The sequence below is a fragment of the Homo sapiens genome, chromosome 9, assembly GCF_000001405.40.
Source record: "Homo sapiens chromosome 9, GRCh38.p14 Primary Assembly".
NCBI classification, from domain to species: domain Eukaryota; kingdom Metazoa; phylum Chordata; class Mammalia; order Primates; family Hominidae; genus Homo; species Homo sapiens.
Window position 1 is genome coordinate 45269996 of NC_000009.12, and position 16808 is coordinate 45286803.

Genomic DNA, 16808 nt, shown 5'->3' on the forward strand with positions numbered 1-16808 from the left:
TGGTTTGAAATACTCTTTTTGTAATATTTGGAAGTGGACATTGGCAGCGCTTTGAAGCCCATGGTGAAAAAGGAGATATCTTCTCCTAAAAACCAGACAGAAGCATTCTCAGAAACTTCCTTGTGATGTGTGTACTCAAGTAACAGAGTTGAACCTTCCTTTTGACAGAGCAGTTTTGAAGCACTCTTTTTGTAGAATCTGCAAGTGGATATTTTGATACCTTTGAGGATTTCGTTGGACACGGGATATCTTCATATAAAATCTAGACTAGAAGCATTCTCAGGAACTTCTTTGTGATGTTTGCATTCACGTCACAGAACTGAACATTCCCTTTCATAGAGCATGTTTGAAACACTCTTTCTGTAGTATCTGCAAACGGACATTTCAAGCGCTTTCAGGCCTATGGTGAGAAAGGAAATATCTTCAAATAAAAACTAGACAGAAGCATTCTCAGAAACTTCTTTGTGCTGTATGTCCTCAATTAACAGAGTTGAACCTTTGTGTGGATACAGCATTTTGGAAACACTCCTTTAGTAGGATATGCAAGTTGATATTTAGATAGCTAGGAAGATTTCCTTGGAAACGGGAATATCTTCATATAAAATGTAGACGGAAGCATTCTCAGAAACTGCTTTGTGATGTTTTCATTCAAGTCACAGAGTAGAATGTTCCCTGTTATATACCAGGTTTGAGACACTCTTTCTGCACTACCTGGAAGTGGACGTTTGGAGCGCTTTGAGGCCTATGTTGAAAAAGGAAATATCTTCCCATAAAAACTAGACAGAAGCATTCTCAGAAACTTGTTTGTGATGTGTGTATTCAACTAACAGAGCATGAACCTTTCTTTTTACAGAGCAGTTTTGAAACACTCTTTTTGTGGAATCTGAAAGTGGATATTTGGATAGCTTTGAGGATTTCGTTGGAAACGGGATTACATATAAAACCTAGAGAGAAGCATTCTCAGGAACTTCTTTGTGATGTTTGCATTCAAGTCACAGAACTGAACATTCCCTTTCATAGAGCAGGTTTGAAACACTCTTTCTGTAGTATCTGCAAGCGGACGTTTTAAGCGCTTTCAGGCCTGTGGTGAGAAAGGAAATATCTTCAAATAAAAACTAGACAGAAGCATTCTCAGAAACTTATTTGCGATGTGTGTTCTCAACTAACAGAGTTGAACCTTTGTTTTGATATGGCATTTTGGAAACACTCTTTTTGTAGAATCTGCAGGTGGATATTCGGATAGCTTTGAAGGTTTCGTTGGAAACGGGAATATCTTCATATAAAATCTAGACGGAAGCATTCTCAGAAACTGCTTTGTGATGTTTTCATTCAAGTCACAGAGTAGAATGTTCCCTGTTATACACCAGGTTTGAGACACTCTTTCTGCACTACCTGGAAGTGGACGTTTGGAGCGCTTTGAGGCCTATGTTGAAAAAGGAAATATCTTCCCATAAAAACTAGACAGAAGCATTCTCAGAAACTTGTTTGTGATGTGTGTATTCAACTAACAGAGATGAACCTTTCTTTTTACAGAGCAGTTTTGAAACACTCTTTTTGTGGAATCTGAAAGTCGATATTTGGATAGCTTTGAGGATTTCGTTGGAAACGGGATTACATATAAAATCTAGAGAGAAGCATTCTCAGGAACTTCTTTGTGATGTTTGCATTCACGTCACAGAACTGAACATTCCCTTTCATAGAGCAGGTTTGAAACACTCTTTCTGTAGTATCTGCAAACGGACATTTCAAACGCTTTCAGGCCTATGGTGAGAAAGGAAATATCTTCAAATAAAAACTAGACAGAAGCATTCTCAGAAACTTATTTGCCATGTGTGTTCTCAACTAACAGAGTTGAACCTTTGTTTTGATACGGCATTTTGGAAACACTCTTTTTGTAGAATCTGCAGGTGGATATTCGGATAGCTTTGAAGGTTTCGTTGGAAACGGGAATATCTTCATATAAAATCTAGACGGAAGCATTCTCAGAAACTGCTTTGTGATGTTTTCATTCAAGTCACAGAGTAGAATGTTCCCTGTTATATACCAGGTTTGACACACTCTTTCTGCACTACCTGGAAGTGGACATTTGCAGCGCTTTGAGGCCTATGATGACAAAGGAAATATCTTCCCATAAAAACTAGACAGAAGCATTCTCAGAAACTTGTTTGTGATGTGTGTATTCAACTAACAGAGATGAACCTTTCTTTTTACAGAGCAGTTTTGAAACACTCTTTTTCTGGAATCTGAAAGTGGATATTTGGATAGCTTTGAGGATTTCGTTGGAAACGGGATTACATATAAAATCTAGAGAGAAGCATTCTTAGAAACTTCTCTGTGATGTTTGCATTCAACTCATAGAGTTGAACACTTCCTTTCATAGAGCTGGTTTGAAATACTCTTTTTGTAATATTTGGAAGTGGACATTGGCAGCGCTTTGAAGCCTATGGTGAAAAAGGAGATATCTTCTCCTAAAAACCAGACAGAAGCATTCTCAGAAACTTATTTGCGATGTGTGTCCTCAACTAACAGAGTTGAACCTTTCTTTTGATACAACATTTTGGAAACACTCTTTTTGTAGAATCTGCAAGTGGATATTTGAATAGCTTTGAAGGTTTCGTTGCAAACGGGAATATCTTCATATAAAATCAAGACAGAAGCATTCTCAGAAACTTCTCTGTGATGTTTGCATTCAACTCATAGAGTTGAACACTTCCCTTCATACAGCAGGTTTGAAACACTCTTTTTGTAATATTTGGAAGTGGACATTTGCAGCGCTTTGAGGCCTATGATGAAAAAGGTAATATCTTCCCATAAAAACTAGACAGAAGCATTCTCAGAAACTTGTTTGTGATGTGTGTATTCAACTAACAGAGATGAACCTTTCTTTTTACAGAGCAGTTTTGAAACACTCTTTTTGTGGAATCTGAAAGTGGATATTTGGATAGCTTTGAGGATTTCGTTGGAAACGGGATTACATATAAAATCTAGAGAGAAGCATTCTCAGGAACTTCTTTGTGATGTTTGCATTCAAGTCACAGAACTGAACATTCCCTTTCATAGAGCATGTTTGAAACACTCTTTCTGTAGTATCTGCAAGCGGACGTTTTAAGCGCTTTCAGGCCTGTGGTGAGAAAGGAAATATCTTCAAATAAAAACTAGACAGAAGCATTCTGAGAAACTTATTTGCCATGTGTGTTCTCAACTAACAGAGTTGAACCTTTGTTTTGATACGGCATTTTGGAAACACTCTTTTTGTAGAATCTGCAGGTGGATATTCGGATAGCTTTGAAGGTTTCGTTGGAAACGGGAATATCTTCATATAAAATCTAGACGGAAGCATTCTCAGAAAGTGCTTTGTGATGTTTGCATTCAAGTCACAGAGTTGAATATTCCCTTTTATAGAGCAGGTTTGAAACACTCTTTCTGCACTACCTGGAAGTGGACATTTGGAGCGCTTTGAGGCCTATGTTGAAAAAGGAAATATCTTCCCATAAAAACTAGACAGAAGCATTCTCAGAAACTTGTTTGTGATGTGTGTATTCAACTAACAGAGATGAACCTTTCTTTTTACAGAGCAGTTTTGAAACACTCTTTTTGTGGAATCTGAAAGTGGATATTTGGATAGCTTTGAGGATTTCGTTGGAAACGGGATTACATATAAAACCTAGAGAGAAGCATTCTCAGGAACTTCTTTGTGATGTTTGCATTCAAGTCACAGAACTGAACATTCCCTTTCATAGAGCAGGTTTGAAACACTCTTTCTGTAGTATCTGCAAGCGGACGTTTTAAGCGCTTTCAGGCCTGTGGTGAGAAAGGAAATATCTTCAAATAAAAACTAGACAGAAGCATTCTCAGAAACTTCTTTGTGCTGTATGTCCTCAATTAACAGAGTTGAACCTTTGTGTGGATACAGCATTTTGGAAACATTCCTTTAGTAGAATCTGCAAGTTGATATTTAGATAGCTAGGAAGATTTCCTTGGAAACGGGAATATCTTCATATAAAATCTAGACGGAAGCATTCTCAGAAACTTCTCTGTGATGTTTGCATTCAACTCATAGAGTTGAACACTTCCCTTCATACAGCAGGTTTGAAACACTCTTTTTGTAATATTTGGAAGTGGACATTTGCAGCGCTTTGAGGCCTATGATGAAAAAGGTAATATCTTCCCATAAAAACTAGATAGAAGCATTCTCAGAAACTTGTTTGTGATGTGTGTATTCAACTAACAGAGATGAACCTTTCTTTTTACAGAGCAGTTTTGAAACACTCTTTTTGTGGAATCTGAAAGTGGATATTTGGATAGCTTTGAGGATTTCTTTGGAAACGGGATTACATATAAAATCTAGAGAGAAGCATTCTCAGGAACTTCTTTGTGATGTTTGCATTCACGTCACAGAACTGAACATTCCCTTTCATAGAGCATGTTTGAAACACTCTTTCTGTAGTATCTGCAAACGGACATTTCAAACGCTTTCAGGCCTATGGTGAGAAAGGAAATATCTTCAAATAAAAACTAGACAGAAGCATTCTCAGAAACTTATTTGCCATGTGTGTTCTCAACTAACAGAGTTGAACCTTTGTTTTGATACGGCATTTTGGAAACACTCTTTTTGTAGAATCTGCAGGTGAATATTCGGATAGCTTTGAAGGTTTCGTTGGAAACGGGAATATCTTCATATAAAATCTAGACGGAAGCATTCTCAGAAAGTGCTTTGTGATGTTTGCATTCAAGTCACAGAGTTGAATATTCCCTTTTATAGAGCAGGTTTGAAACACTCTTTCTGCACTACCTGGAAGTGGACATTTGGAGCGCTTTGAGGCCTATGTTGAAAAAGGAAATATCTTCCCATAAAAACTAGACAGAAGCATTCTCAGAAACTTGTTTGTGATGTGTGTATTCAACTAACAGAGATGAACCTTTCTTTTTACAGAGCAGTTTTGAAACACTCTTTTTGTGGAATCTGAAAGTGGATATTTGGATAGCTTTGAGGATTTCGTTGGAAACGGGATTACATATAAAACCTAGAGAGAAGCATTCTCAGGAACTTCTTTGTGATGTTTGCATTCAAGTCACAGAACTCAACATTCCCTTTCATAGAGCAGGTTTGAAACACTCTTTCTGTAGTATCTGCAAGCTGACGTTTCAAGCGCTTTCAGGCCTATGGTGAGAAAGGAAATATCTTCAAGTAAAAACTAGACAGAAGCATTCTCAGAAACTTATTTGCGATGTGTGTCCTCAACTAACAGAGTTGAACCTTTCTTTTGATACAACATTTTGGAACCACTCTTTTTGTAGAATCTGCAAGTGGATATTTGGATAGCTTTGAAGGTTTCGTTGGAAACGGGAATATCTTCATATAAAATCAAGACAGAAGCATTCTCAGAAACTTCTCTGTGATGTTTGCATTCAACTCATAGAGTTGAACACTTCCCTTCATACAGCAGGTTTGAAACACTCTTTTTGTAATATTTGGAAGTGGACATTTGCAGCGCTTTGAGGCCTATGATGAAAAAGGTAATATCTTCCCATAAAAACTAGACAGAAGCATTCTCAGAAACTTGTTTGTGATGTGTGTATTCAACTAACAGAGATGAACCTTTCTTTTTACAGAGCAGTTTTGAAACACTCTTTTTGTGGAATCTGAAAGTGGATATTTGGATAGCTTTGAGGATTTCGTTGGAAACGGGATTACATATAAAATCTAGAGAGAAGCATTCTCAGGAACTTCTTTGTGATGTTTGCATTCAAGTCACAGAACTGAACATTCCCTTTCATAGAGCAGGTTTGAAACACTCTTTCTGTAGTATCTGCAAGCTGACGTTTCAAGCGCTTTCAGGCCTATGGTGAGAAAGGAAATATCTTCAAGTAAAAACTAGACAGAAGCATTCTCAGAAACTTCTTTGTGCTGTATGTCCTCAATTAACAGAGTTGAACCTTTGTGTGGATACAGCATTTTGGAAACATTCCTTTAGTAGAATCTGCAAGTTGATATTTAGATAGCTAGGAAGATTTCCTTGGAAACGGGAATATCTTCATATAAAATCTAGACGGAAGCATTCTCAGAAAGTGCTTTGTGATGTTTGCATTCAAGTCACAGAGTTGAATATTCCCTTTTATAGAGCAGGTTTGAAACACTCTTTCTGCACTACCTGGAGGTGGACATTTAGAGCGCTTTGAGGCCTATGTTGAAAAAGGAAATATCTTCCCATAAAAACTAGACAGAAGCATTCTCAGAAACTTGTTTGTGATGTGTGTATTCAACTAACAGAGATGAACCTTTCTTTTTACAGAGCAGTTTTGAAACACTCTTTTTGTGGAATCTGAAAGTGGATATTTGGATAGCTTTGAGGATTTCGTTGGAAACGGGATTACATATAAAACCTAGAGAGAAGCATTCTCAGGAACTTCTTTGTGATGTTTGCATTCAAGTCACAGAACTGAACATTCCCTTTCATAGAGCAGGTTTGAAACACTCTTTCTGTAGTATCTGCAAGCGGACGTTTTAAGCGCTTTCAGGCCTGTGGTGAGAAAGGAAATATCTTCAAATAAAAACTAGACAGAAGCATTCTCAGAAACTTATTTGCGATGTGTGTTCTCAACTAACAGAGTTGAACCTTTGTTTTGATATGGCATTTTGGAAACACTCTTTTTGTAGAATCTGCAGGTGGATATTCGGATAGCTTTGAAGGTTTCGTTGGAAACGGGAATATCTTCATATAAAATACTAGACGGAAGCATTCTCAGAAACTTCTCTGTGATGTTTGCATTCAACTCATAGAGTTGAACACTTCCCTTCATACAGCAGGTTTGAAACACTCTTTTTGTAATATTTGGAAGTGGACATTTGCAGCGCTTTGAGGCCTATGATGAAAAAGGTAATATCTTCCCATAAAAACTAGACAGAAGCATTCTCAGAAACTTGTTTGTGATGTGTGTATTCAACTAACAGAGATGAACCTTTCTTTTTACAGAGCAGTTTTGAAACACTCTTTTTGTGGAATCTGAAAGTGGATATTTGGATAGCTTTGAGGATTTCGTTGGAAACGGGATTACATATAAAACCTAGAGAGAAGCATTCTCAGGAACTTCTTTGTGATGTTTGCCTTCAAGTCACAGGACTGAACATTCCCTTTCATAGAGCAGGTTTGAAACACTCTTTCTGTAGTATCTGCAAGCTGACGTTTCAAGCGCTTTCAGGCCTATGGTGAGAAAGGAAATATCTTCAAGTAAAAACTAGACAGAAGCATTCTCAGAAACTTATTTGCGATGTGTGTCCTCAACTAACAGAGTTGAACCTTTCTTTTGATACAACATTTTGGAAACACTCTTTTTGTAGAATCTGCAAGTGGATATTTGGATAGCATTGAAGGTTTCGTTGGAAACGGGAATATCTTCATATGAAATCAAGACAGAAGCATTCTCAGAAACTGCTTTGTGATGTTTTCATTCAAGTCACAGAGTAGAATCTTCCCTGTTATATACCAGGTTTCAGACACTCTTTCTGCACTACCTGGAAGTGGACATTTGCAGCGCTTTGAGGCCTATGATGAAAAAGGAAATATCTTCCCATAAAAACTAGACAGAAGCATTCTCAGAAACTTGTTTGTGATGTGTGTATTCAACTAACAGAGATGAACCTTTCTTTTTACAGAGCAGTTTTGAAACACTCTTTTTGTGGAATCTGAAAGTGGATATTTGGATAGCTTTGAGGATTTCGTTGGAAACGGGATTACATATAAAATCTAGAGAGAAGCATTCTCAGGAACTTCTTTGTGATGTTTGCATTCAAGTCACAGGACTGAACGTTCCCTTTCATAGAGCAGGTTTGAAACACTCTTTCTGTAGTATCTGCAAGCTGACGTTTCATGCGTTTTCATGCCTATGGTGAGAAAGGAAATATCTTCAAGTAAAAACTAGACAGAAGCGTTCTCAGAAACTTATTTGCGATGTGTGTCCTCAACTAACAGAGTTGAACCTTTCTTTTGATACAACATTTTGGAAACACTCTTTTTGTAGAATCTGCAAGTGGATATTTGAATAGCTTTGAAGGTTTCGTTGGAAACGGGAATATCTTCATAAAAAATCAAGACAGAAGCATTCTCAGAAAGTGCTTTGTGATGTTTGCATTCAAGTCACAGAGTTGAATATTCCCTTTTATAGAGCAGGTTTGAAACACTCTTTCTGCACTATCTGGAAGTGGACATTTGGAGCGCTTTGAGGCCTATGTTGAAAAACGAAATATCTTCCCATAAAAACTAGACAGAAGCATTCTCAGAAACTTGTTTGTGATGTGTGTATTCAGCTGACAGAGATGAACCTTTCTTTTTACAGAGCAGTTTTGAAACACTCTTTTTGTGGAATCTGAAAGTGGATATTTGGATAGCTTTGAGGATTTCGTTGGAAACGGGATTACATACAAAACCTAGAGAGAAGCATTCTCAGGAACTTCTTTGTGATGTTTGCCTTCAAGTCACAGGACTGAACATTCCCTTTCATAGAGCAGGTTTGAAACACTCTTTCTGTAGTATCTGCAAGCTGACGTTTCAAGCGCTTTCAGGCCTATGGTGAGAAAGGAAATATCTTCAAGTAAAAACTAGACAGAAAGCATTCTCAGAAAACTTATTTGCCATGTGTGTTCTCAACTAACAGAGTTGAACCTTTGTTTTGATACGGCATTTTGGAAACACTCTTTTTGTAGAATCTGCAGGTGGATATTCGGATAGCTTTGAAGGTTTCGTTGGAAACGGGAATATCTTCATATAAAATCTAGACGGAAGCATTCTCAGAAACTTCTCTGTGATGTTTGCATTCAACTCATAGAGTTGAACACTTCCCTTCATACAGCAGGTTTGAAACACTCTTTTTGTAATATTTGGAAGTGGACATTTGCAGCGCTTTGAGGCCTATGATGAAAAAGGTAATATCTTCCCATAAAAACTAGACAGAAGCATTCTCAGAAACTTGTTTGTGATGTGTGTATTCAACTAACAGAGATGAACCTTTCTTTTTACAGAGCAGTTTTGAAACACTCTTTTTGTGGAATCTGAAAGTGGATATTTGGATAGCTTTGAGGATTTCGTTGGAAACGGGATTACATATAAAATCTAGAGAGAAGCATTCTCAGGAACTTCTTTGTGATGTTTGCATTCACGTCACAGAACTGAACATTCCCTTTCATAGAGCATGTTTGAAACACTCTTTCTGTAGTATCTGCAAACGGACATTTCAAACGCTTTCAGGCCTATGGTGAGAAAGGAAATATCTTCAAATAAAAACTAGACAGAAGCATTCTCAGAAACATATTTGCCATGTGTGTTCTCAACTAACAGAGTTGAACCTTTGTTTTGATACAGCATTTTGGAAACACTCCTTTTGTAGAATCTGCAGGTGGATATTCGGATAGCTTTGAAGGTTTCGTTGGAAACGGGAATATCTTCATATAAAATCAAGACAGAAGCATTCTCAGAAACTGCTTTGTGATGTTTTCATTCAAGTCACAGAGTAGAATGTTCCCTGTTATATACCAGGTTTGAGACACTCTTTCTGCACTACCCGGAAGTGGACGTTTGGAGCGCTTTGAGGCCTATGTTGAAAAAGGAAATATCTTCCCATAAAAACTAGACAGAAGCATTCTCAGAAACTTGTTTGTGATGTGTGTATTCAACTAACAGAGATGAACCTTTCTTTTTACAGAGCAGTTTTGAAACACTCTTTTTGTGGAATCTGAAAGTGGATATTTGGATAGCTTTGCGGATTTCGTTGGAAACGGGATTACATATAAAATCTAGGGAGAAGCATTCTCAGGAACTTCTTTGTGATGTTTGCATTCACGTCACAGAACTGAACATTCCCTTTCATAGAGCATGTTTGAAACACTCTTTCTGTAGTATCTGCAAACGGACATTTCAAACGCTTTCAGGCCTATGGTGAGAAAGGAAATATCTTCAAATAAAAACTAGACAGAAGCATTCTCAGAAACTTATTTGCCATGTGTGTTCTCAACTAACAGAGTTGAACCTTTGTTTTGATACGGCATTTTGGAAACACTCTTTTTGTAGAATCTGCAGGTGGATATTCGGATAGCTTTGAAGGTTTCGTTGGAAACGGGAATATCTTCATATAAAATCTAGACGGAAGCATTCTCAGAAAGTGCTTTGTGATGTTTGCATTCAAGTCACAGAGTTGAATATTCCCTTTTATAGAGCAGGTTTGAAACACTCTTTCTGCACTACCTGGAAGTGGACATTTGGAGCGCTTTGAGGCCTATGTTGAAAAACGAAATATCTTCCCATAAAAACTAGACAGAAGCATTCTCAGAAACTTGTTTGTGATGTGTGTATTCAACTAACAGAGATGAACCTTTCTTTTTACAGAGCAGTTTTGAAACACTCTTTTTGTGGAATCTGAAAGTGGATATTTGGATAGCTTTGCGGATTTCGTTGGAAACGGGATTACATATAAAATCTAGGGAGAAGCATTCTCAGGAACTTCTTTGTGATGTTTGCCTTCAAGTCACAGGACTGAACATTCCCTTTCATAGAGCAGGTTTGAAACACTCTTTCTGTAGTATCTGCAAGCTGACGTTTCAAGCGCTTTCAGGCCTATGGTGAGAAAGGAAATATCTTCAAGTAAAAACTAGACAGAAGCATTCTCAGAAACTTATTTGCCATGTGTGTTCTCAACTAACAGAGTTGAACCTTTGTTTTGATACGGCATTTTGGAAACACTCTTTTTGTAGAATCTGCAGGTGGATATTCGGATAGCTTTGAAGGTTTCGTTGGAAACGGGAATATCTTCATATAAAATCTAGACGGAAGCATTCTCAGAAAGTGCTTTGTGATGTTTGCATTCAAGTCACAGAGTTGAATATTCCCTTTTATAGAGCAGGTTTGAAACACTCTTTCTGCACTACCTGGAAGTGGACATTTGGAGCGCTTTGAGGCCTATGTTGAAAAAGGAAATATCTTCCCATAAAAACTAGACAGAAGCATTCTCAGAAACTTGTTTGTGATGTGTGTATTCAACTAACAGAGATGAACCTTTCTTTTTACAGAGCAGTTTTGAAACACTCTTTTTGTGGAATCTGAAAGTGGATATTTGGATAGCTTTGAGGATTTCGTTGGAAACGGGATTACATATAAAATCTAGGGAGAAGCATTCTCAGGAACTTCTTTGTGATGTTTGCATTCACGTCACAGAACTGAACATTCCCTTTCATAGAGCATGTTTGAAACACTCTTTCTGTAGTATCTGCAAACGGACATTTCAAACGCTTTCAGGCCTATGGTGAGAAAGGAAATATCTTCAAGTAAAAACTAGACAGAAGCATTCTCAGAAACTTCTTTGTGCTGTATGTCCTCAATTAACAGAGTTGAACCTTTGTGTGGATACAGCATTTTGGAAACATTCCTTTAGTAGAATCTGCAAGTTGATATTTAGATAGCTAGGAAGATTTCCTTGGAAACGGGAATATCTTCATATAAAATCTAGACGGAAGCATTCTCAGAAACTGCTTTGTGATGTTTTCATTCAAGTCACAGAGTAGAATGTTCCCTGTTATATACCAGGTTTGAGACACTCTTTCTGCACTACCTGGAAGTGGACGTTTGGAGCGCTTTGAGGCCTATGTTGAAAAAGGAAATATCTTCCCATAAAAACTAGACAGAAGCATTCTCAGAAACTTGTTTGTGATGTGTGTATTCAACTAACAGAGATGAACCTTTCTTTTTACAGAGCAGTTTTGAAACACTCTTTTTGTGGAATCTGAAAGTGGATATTTGGATAGCTTCGAGGATTTCGTTGGAAACGGGATTACATATAAAATCTAGAGAGAAGCATTCTCAGGAACTTCTTTGTGATGTTTGCATTCAAGTCACAGAACTGAACATTCCCTTTCATAGAGCATGTTTGAAACACTCTTTCTGTAGTATCTGCAAGCGGACGTTTCAAGCGCTTTCAGGCCTATGGTGAGAAAGGAAATATCTTCAAGTAAAAACTAGACAGAAGCATTCTCAGAAACTTATTTGCCATGTGTGTTCTCAACTAACAGAGTTGAACCTTTGTTTTGATGCGGCATTTTGCAAACACTCTTTTTGTAGAATCTGCAGGTGGATATTCGGATAGCTTTGAAGGTTTCGTTGGAAACGGGAATATCTTCATATAAAATCTAGACGGAAGCATTCTCAGAAACTGCTTTGTGATGTTTTCATTCAAGTCACAGAGTAGAATGTTCCCTGTTATATACCAGGTTTGAGACACTCTTTCTGCACTACCTGGAAGTGGACATTTGCAGCGCTTTGAGGCCTATGATGAAAAAGGAAATATCTTCCCATAAAAACTAGACAGAAGCATTCTCAGAAACTTGTTTGTGATGTGTGTATTCAACTAACAGAGATGAACCTTTCTTTTTACAGAGCAGTTTTGAAACACTCTTTTTGTGGAATCTGAAAGTGGATATTTGGATAGCTTTGAGGATTTCGTTGGAAACGGGATTACATATAAAACCTAGAGAGAAGCATTCTCAGGAACTTCTTTGTGATGTTTGCATTCAAATCACAGAACTGAACATTCCCTTTCATAGAGCAGGTTTGAAACACTCTTTCTGTAGTATCTGCAAGCTGACGTTTCAAGCGCTTTCAGCCCTATGGTGAGAAAGGAAATATCTTCAAGTAAAAACTAGACAGAAGCATTCTCAGAATCTTATTTGCGATGTGTGTTCTCAACTAACAGAGTTGAACCTTTGTTTTGATATGGCATTTTGGAAACACTCTTTTTGTAGAATCTGCAGGTGGATATTCGGATAGCTTTGAAGGTTTCGTTGGAAACGGGAATATCTTCATATAAAATCTAGACGGAAGCATTCTCAGAAACTGCTTTGTGATGTTTTCATTCAAGTCACAGAGTAGAATGTTCCCTGTTATATACCAGGTTTGAGACACTCTTTCTGCACTACCTGGAAGTGGACATTTGCAGCGCTTTGAGGCCTATGATGAAAAAGGAAATATCTTCCCATAAAAACTAGACAGAAGCATTCTCAGAAACTTGTTTGTGATGTGTGTATTCAACTAACAGAGATGAACCTTTCTTTTTACAGAGCAGTTTTGAAACACTCTTTTTGTGGAATCTGAAAGTGGATATTTGGATAGCTTTGAGGATTTCGTTGGAAACGGGATTACATATAAAACCTAGAGAGAAGCATTCTCAGGAACTTCTTTGTGATGTTTGCATTCAAGTCACAGAACTGAACATTCCCTTTCATAGAGCATGTTTGAAACACTCTTTCTGTAGTATCTGCAAACGGACATTTCAAACGCTTTCAGGCCTATGGTGAGAAAGGAAATATCTTCAAATAAAAACTAGACAGAAGCATTCTCAGAAACTTATTTGCGATGTGTGTTCTCAACTAACAGAGTTGAACCTTTGTTTTGATACGGCATTTTGGAAACACTCTTTTTGTAGAATCTGCAGGTGGATATTCGGATAGCTTTGAAGGTTTCGTTGGAAACGGGAATATCTTCATATAAAATACTAGACGGAAGCATTCTCAGAAACTGCTTTGGGATGTTTTCATTCAAGTCACAGGAGTAGAATGTTCCCTGTTATATACCAGGTTTGAGACACTCTTTCTGCACTACCTGGAAGTGGACGTTTGGAGCGCTTTGAGGCCTATGTTGAAAAAGGAAATATCTTCCCATAAAAACTAGACAGAAGCATTCTCAGAAACTTGTTTGTGATGTGTGTATTCAACTAACAGAGATGAACCTTTCTTTTTACAGAGCAGTTTTGAAACACTCTTTTTGTGGAATCTGAAAGTGGATATTTGGATAGCTTTGAGGATTTCGTTGGAAACGGGATTACATATAAAATCTAGGGAGAAGCATTCTCAGGAACTTCTTTGTGATGTTTGCATTCAAGTCACAGAACTGAACATTCCCTTTCATTGAGCAGCTTTGAAACACTATATCTGTAGTATCTGCAAGCGGACGTTTCAAGCGCTTTCAGGCCTGTGGTGAAAAGGGAAATATCTTCAAATAAAAACTAGACAGAAGCATTCTCAGAAACTTATTTAACATGTGTGTTCTCAACTAACAGAGTTGAACCTTTGTTTTGATACGGCATTTTGGAAACACTCTTTTTGTAGAATCTGCTGGTGGATATTCGGATAGCTTTGAAGGTTTCGTTGGAAACGGGAATATCTTCATAGAAAATCTAGACGGAAGCATTCTCAGAAACTTCTCTGTGATGTTTGCATTCAACTCATAGAGTTGAACACTTCCCTTCATACAGCAGGTTTGAAACACTCTTTTTGTAATATTTGGAAGTGGACATTTGCAGCGCTTTGAGGCCTATGATGAAAAAGGAAATATCTTCCCATAAAAACTAGACAGAAGCATTCTCAGAAACTTGTTTGTGATGTGTGTATTCAACTAACAGAGATGAACCTTTCTTTTTACAGAGCAGTTTTGAAACACTCTTTTTGTGGAATCTGAAAGTGGATATTTGGATAGCTTTGAGGATTTCGTTGGAAACGGGATTACATATAAAACCTAGAGAGAAGCATTCTCAGGAACTTCTTTGTGATGTTTGCATTCAAGTCACAGAACTGAACATTCCCTTTCATAGAGCAGGTTTGAAACACTCTTTCTGTAGTATCTGCAAGCGGACGTTTTAAGCGCTTTCAGGCCTGTGGTGAGAAAGGAAATATCTTCAAATAAAAACTAGACAGAAGCATTCTCAGAAACTTCTTTGTGCTGTATGTCCTCAATTAACAGAGTTGAACCTTTGTGTGGATACAGCATTTTGGAAACATTCCTTTAGTAGAATCTGCAAGTTGATATTTAGATAGCTAGGAAGATTTCCTTGGAAACGGGAATATCTTCATATAAAATCTAGACGGAAGCATTCTCAGAAACTGCTTTGTGATGTCTTCATTCAAGTCACAGAGCAGAATGTTCCCTTTTATAGAGCAGGTTTGAAACACTCAGTGCACTACCTGGAAGTGGACATTTGGAGCGCTTTGAGGCCTATGTTGAAAAAGGAAATATCTTCCCATAGAAACTAGACAGAAGCATTCTCAGAAACTTGTTTGTGATGTGTGTATTCAACTAACAGAGATGAACCTTTCTTTTTACAGAGCAGTTTTGAAACACTCTTTTTGTGGAATCTGAAAGTGGATATTTGGATAGCTTTGAGGATTTCGTTGGAAACGGGATTACATATAAAACCTAGAGAGAAGCATTCTCAGGAACTTCTTTGTGATGTTTGCATTCAAGTCACAGAACTGAACATTCCCTTTCATAGAGCAGGTTTGAAACACTCTTTCTGTAGTATCTGCAAGCTGACGTTTCAAGCGCTTTCAGGCCTATGGTGAGAAAGGAAATATCTTCAAGTAAAAACTAGACAGAAGCATTCTCAGAAACTTATTTGCGATGTGTGTCCTCAACTAACAGAGTTGAACCTTTCTTTTGATACAACATTTTGGAAACACTCTTTTTGTAGAATCTGCAAGTGGATATTTGAATAGCTTTGAAGGTTTCGTTGGAAACGGGAATATCTTCATATAAAATCAAGACAGAAGCATTCTCAGAAAGTGCTTTGTGATGTTTGCATTCAAGTCACAGAGTTGAATATTCCCTTTTATAGAGCAGGTTTGAAACACTCTTTCTGCACTACCTGGAAGTGGACATTTGGAGCGCTTTGAGGCCTATGTTGAAAAAGGAAATATCTTCCCATAAAAACTAGACAGAAGCATTCTCAGAAACTTCCTTGTGATGTGTGTACTCAAGTAACAGAGTTGAACCTTCCTTTTGACAGAGCCGTTTTGAAACAGTCTTTTTGTAGAATCTGGAAGTAGATATTTGGATACCTTTGAGGATTTCTTTGGAAACGAGATATCTTCACATAAAATCTAGACAGAAGCATTCTCAGGAACTTCTTTGTGATGTTTGCATTCAAGTTACAGAACTGAACATTCCCTTTCATAGAGCAGGTTTGAAACACTCTTTCTGTAGTATCTGCAAGCTGACGTTTCAAGCGCTTTCAGGCCTATGGTGAGAAAGGAAATATCTTCAAGTAAAAACTAGACAGAAGCATTCTCAGAAACTTCTTTGTGCTGTATGTCCTCAATTAACAGAGTTGAACCTTTGTGTGGATACAGCATTTTGGAAACATTCCTTTAGTAGAATCTGCAAGTTGATATTTAGATAGCTAGGAAGATTTCCTTGGAAACGGGAATATCTTCATATAAAATCTAGACGGAAGCATTCTCAGAAACTGCTTTGTGATGTTTTCATTCAAGTCACAGAGTAGAATGTTCCCTGTTATATACCAGGTTTGAGACACTCTTTCTGCACTACCTGGAAGTGGACGTTTGGAGCGCTTTGAGGCCTATGTTGAAAAAGGAAATATCTTCCCATAAAAACTAGACAGAAGCATTCTCAGAAACTTGTTTGTGATGTGTGTATTCAACTAACAGAGATGAACCTTTCTTTTTACAGAGCAGTTTTGAAACACTCTTTTTGTGGAATCTGAAAGTGGATATTTGGATAGCTTTGAGGATTTCGTTGGAAACGGGATTACATATAAAACCTAGAGAGAAGCATTCTCAGGAACTTCTTTGTGATGTTTGCATTCAAGTCACAGAACTGAACATTCCCTTTCATAGAGCAGGTTTGAAACACTCTTTCTGTAGTATCTGCAAGCGGACGTTTTAAGCGCTTTCAGGCCTGTGGTGAGAAAGGAAATATCTTCAAATAAAAACTAGACAGAAGCATTCTCAGAAACTTATTTGCGATGTGTGTCCTCAA

The 16808-nt window shown here is 37.6% G+C and overlaps 1 annotated feature.

Moving 5' to 3' along the window:
- Positions 1–16808: part of a centromere (Linear centromere model derived predominantly from reads generated in PMID: 17803354. This region does not represent an actual centromere sequence, as long-range ordering of repeats and unmapped WGS contigs is not provided by the model. For details of model production, see http://arxiv.org/abs/1307.0035.) that runs on past both edges of the window.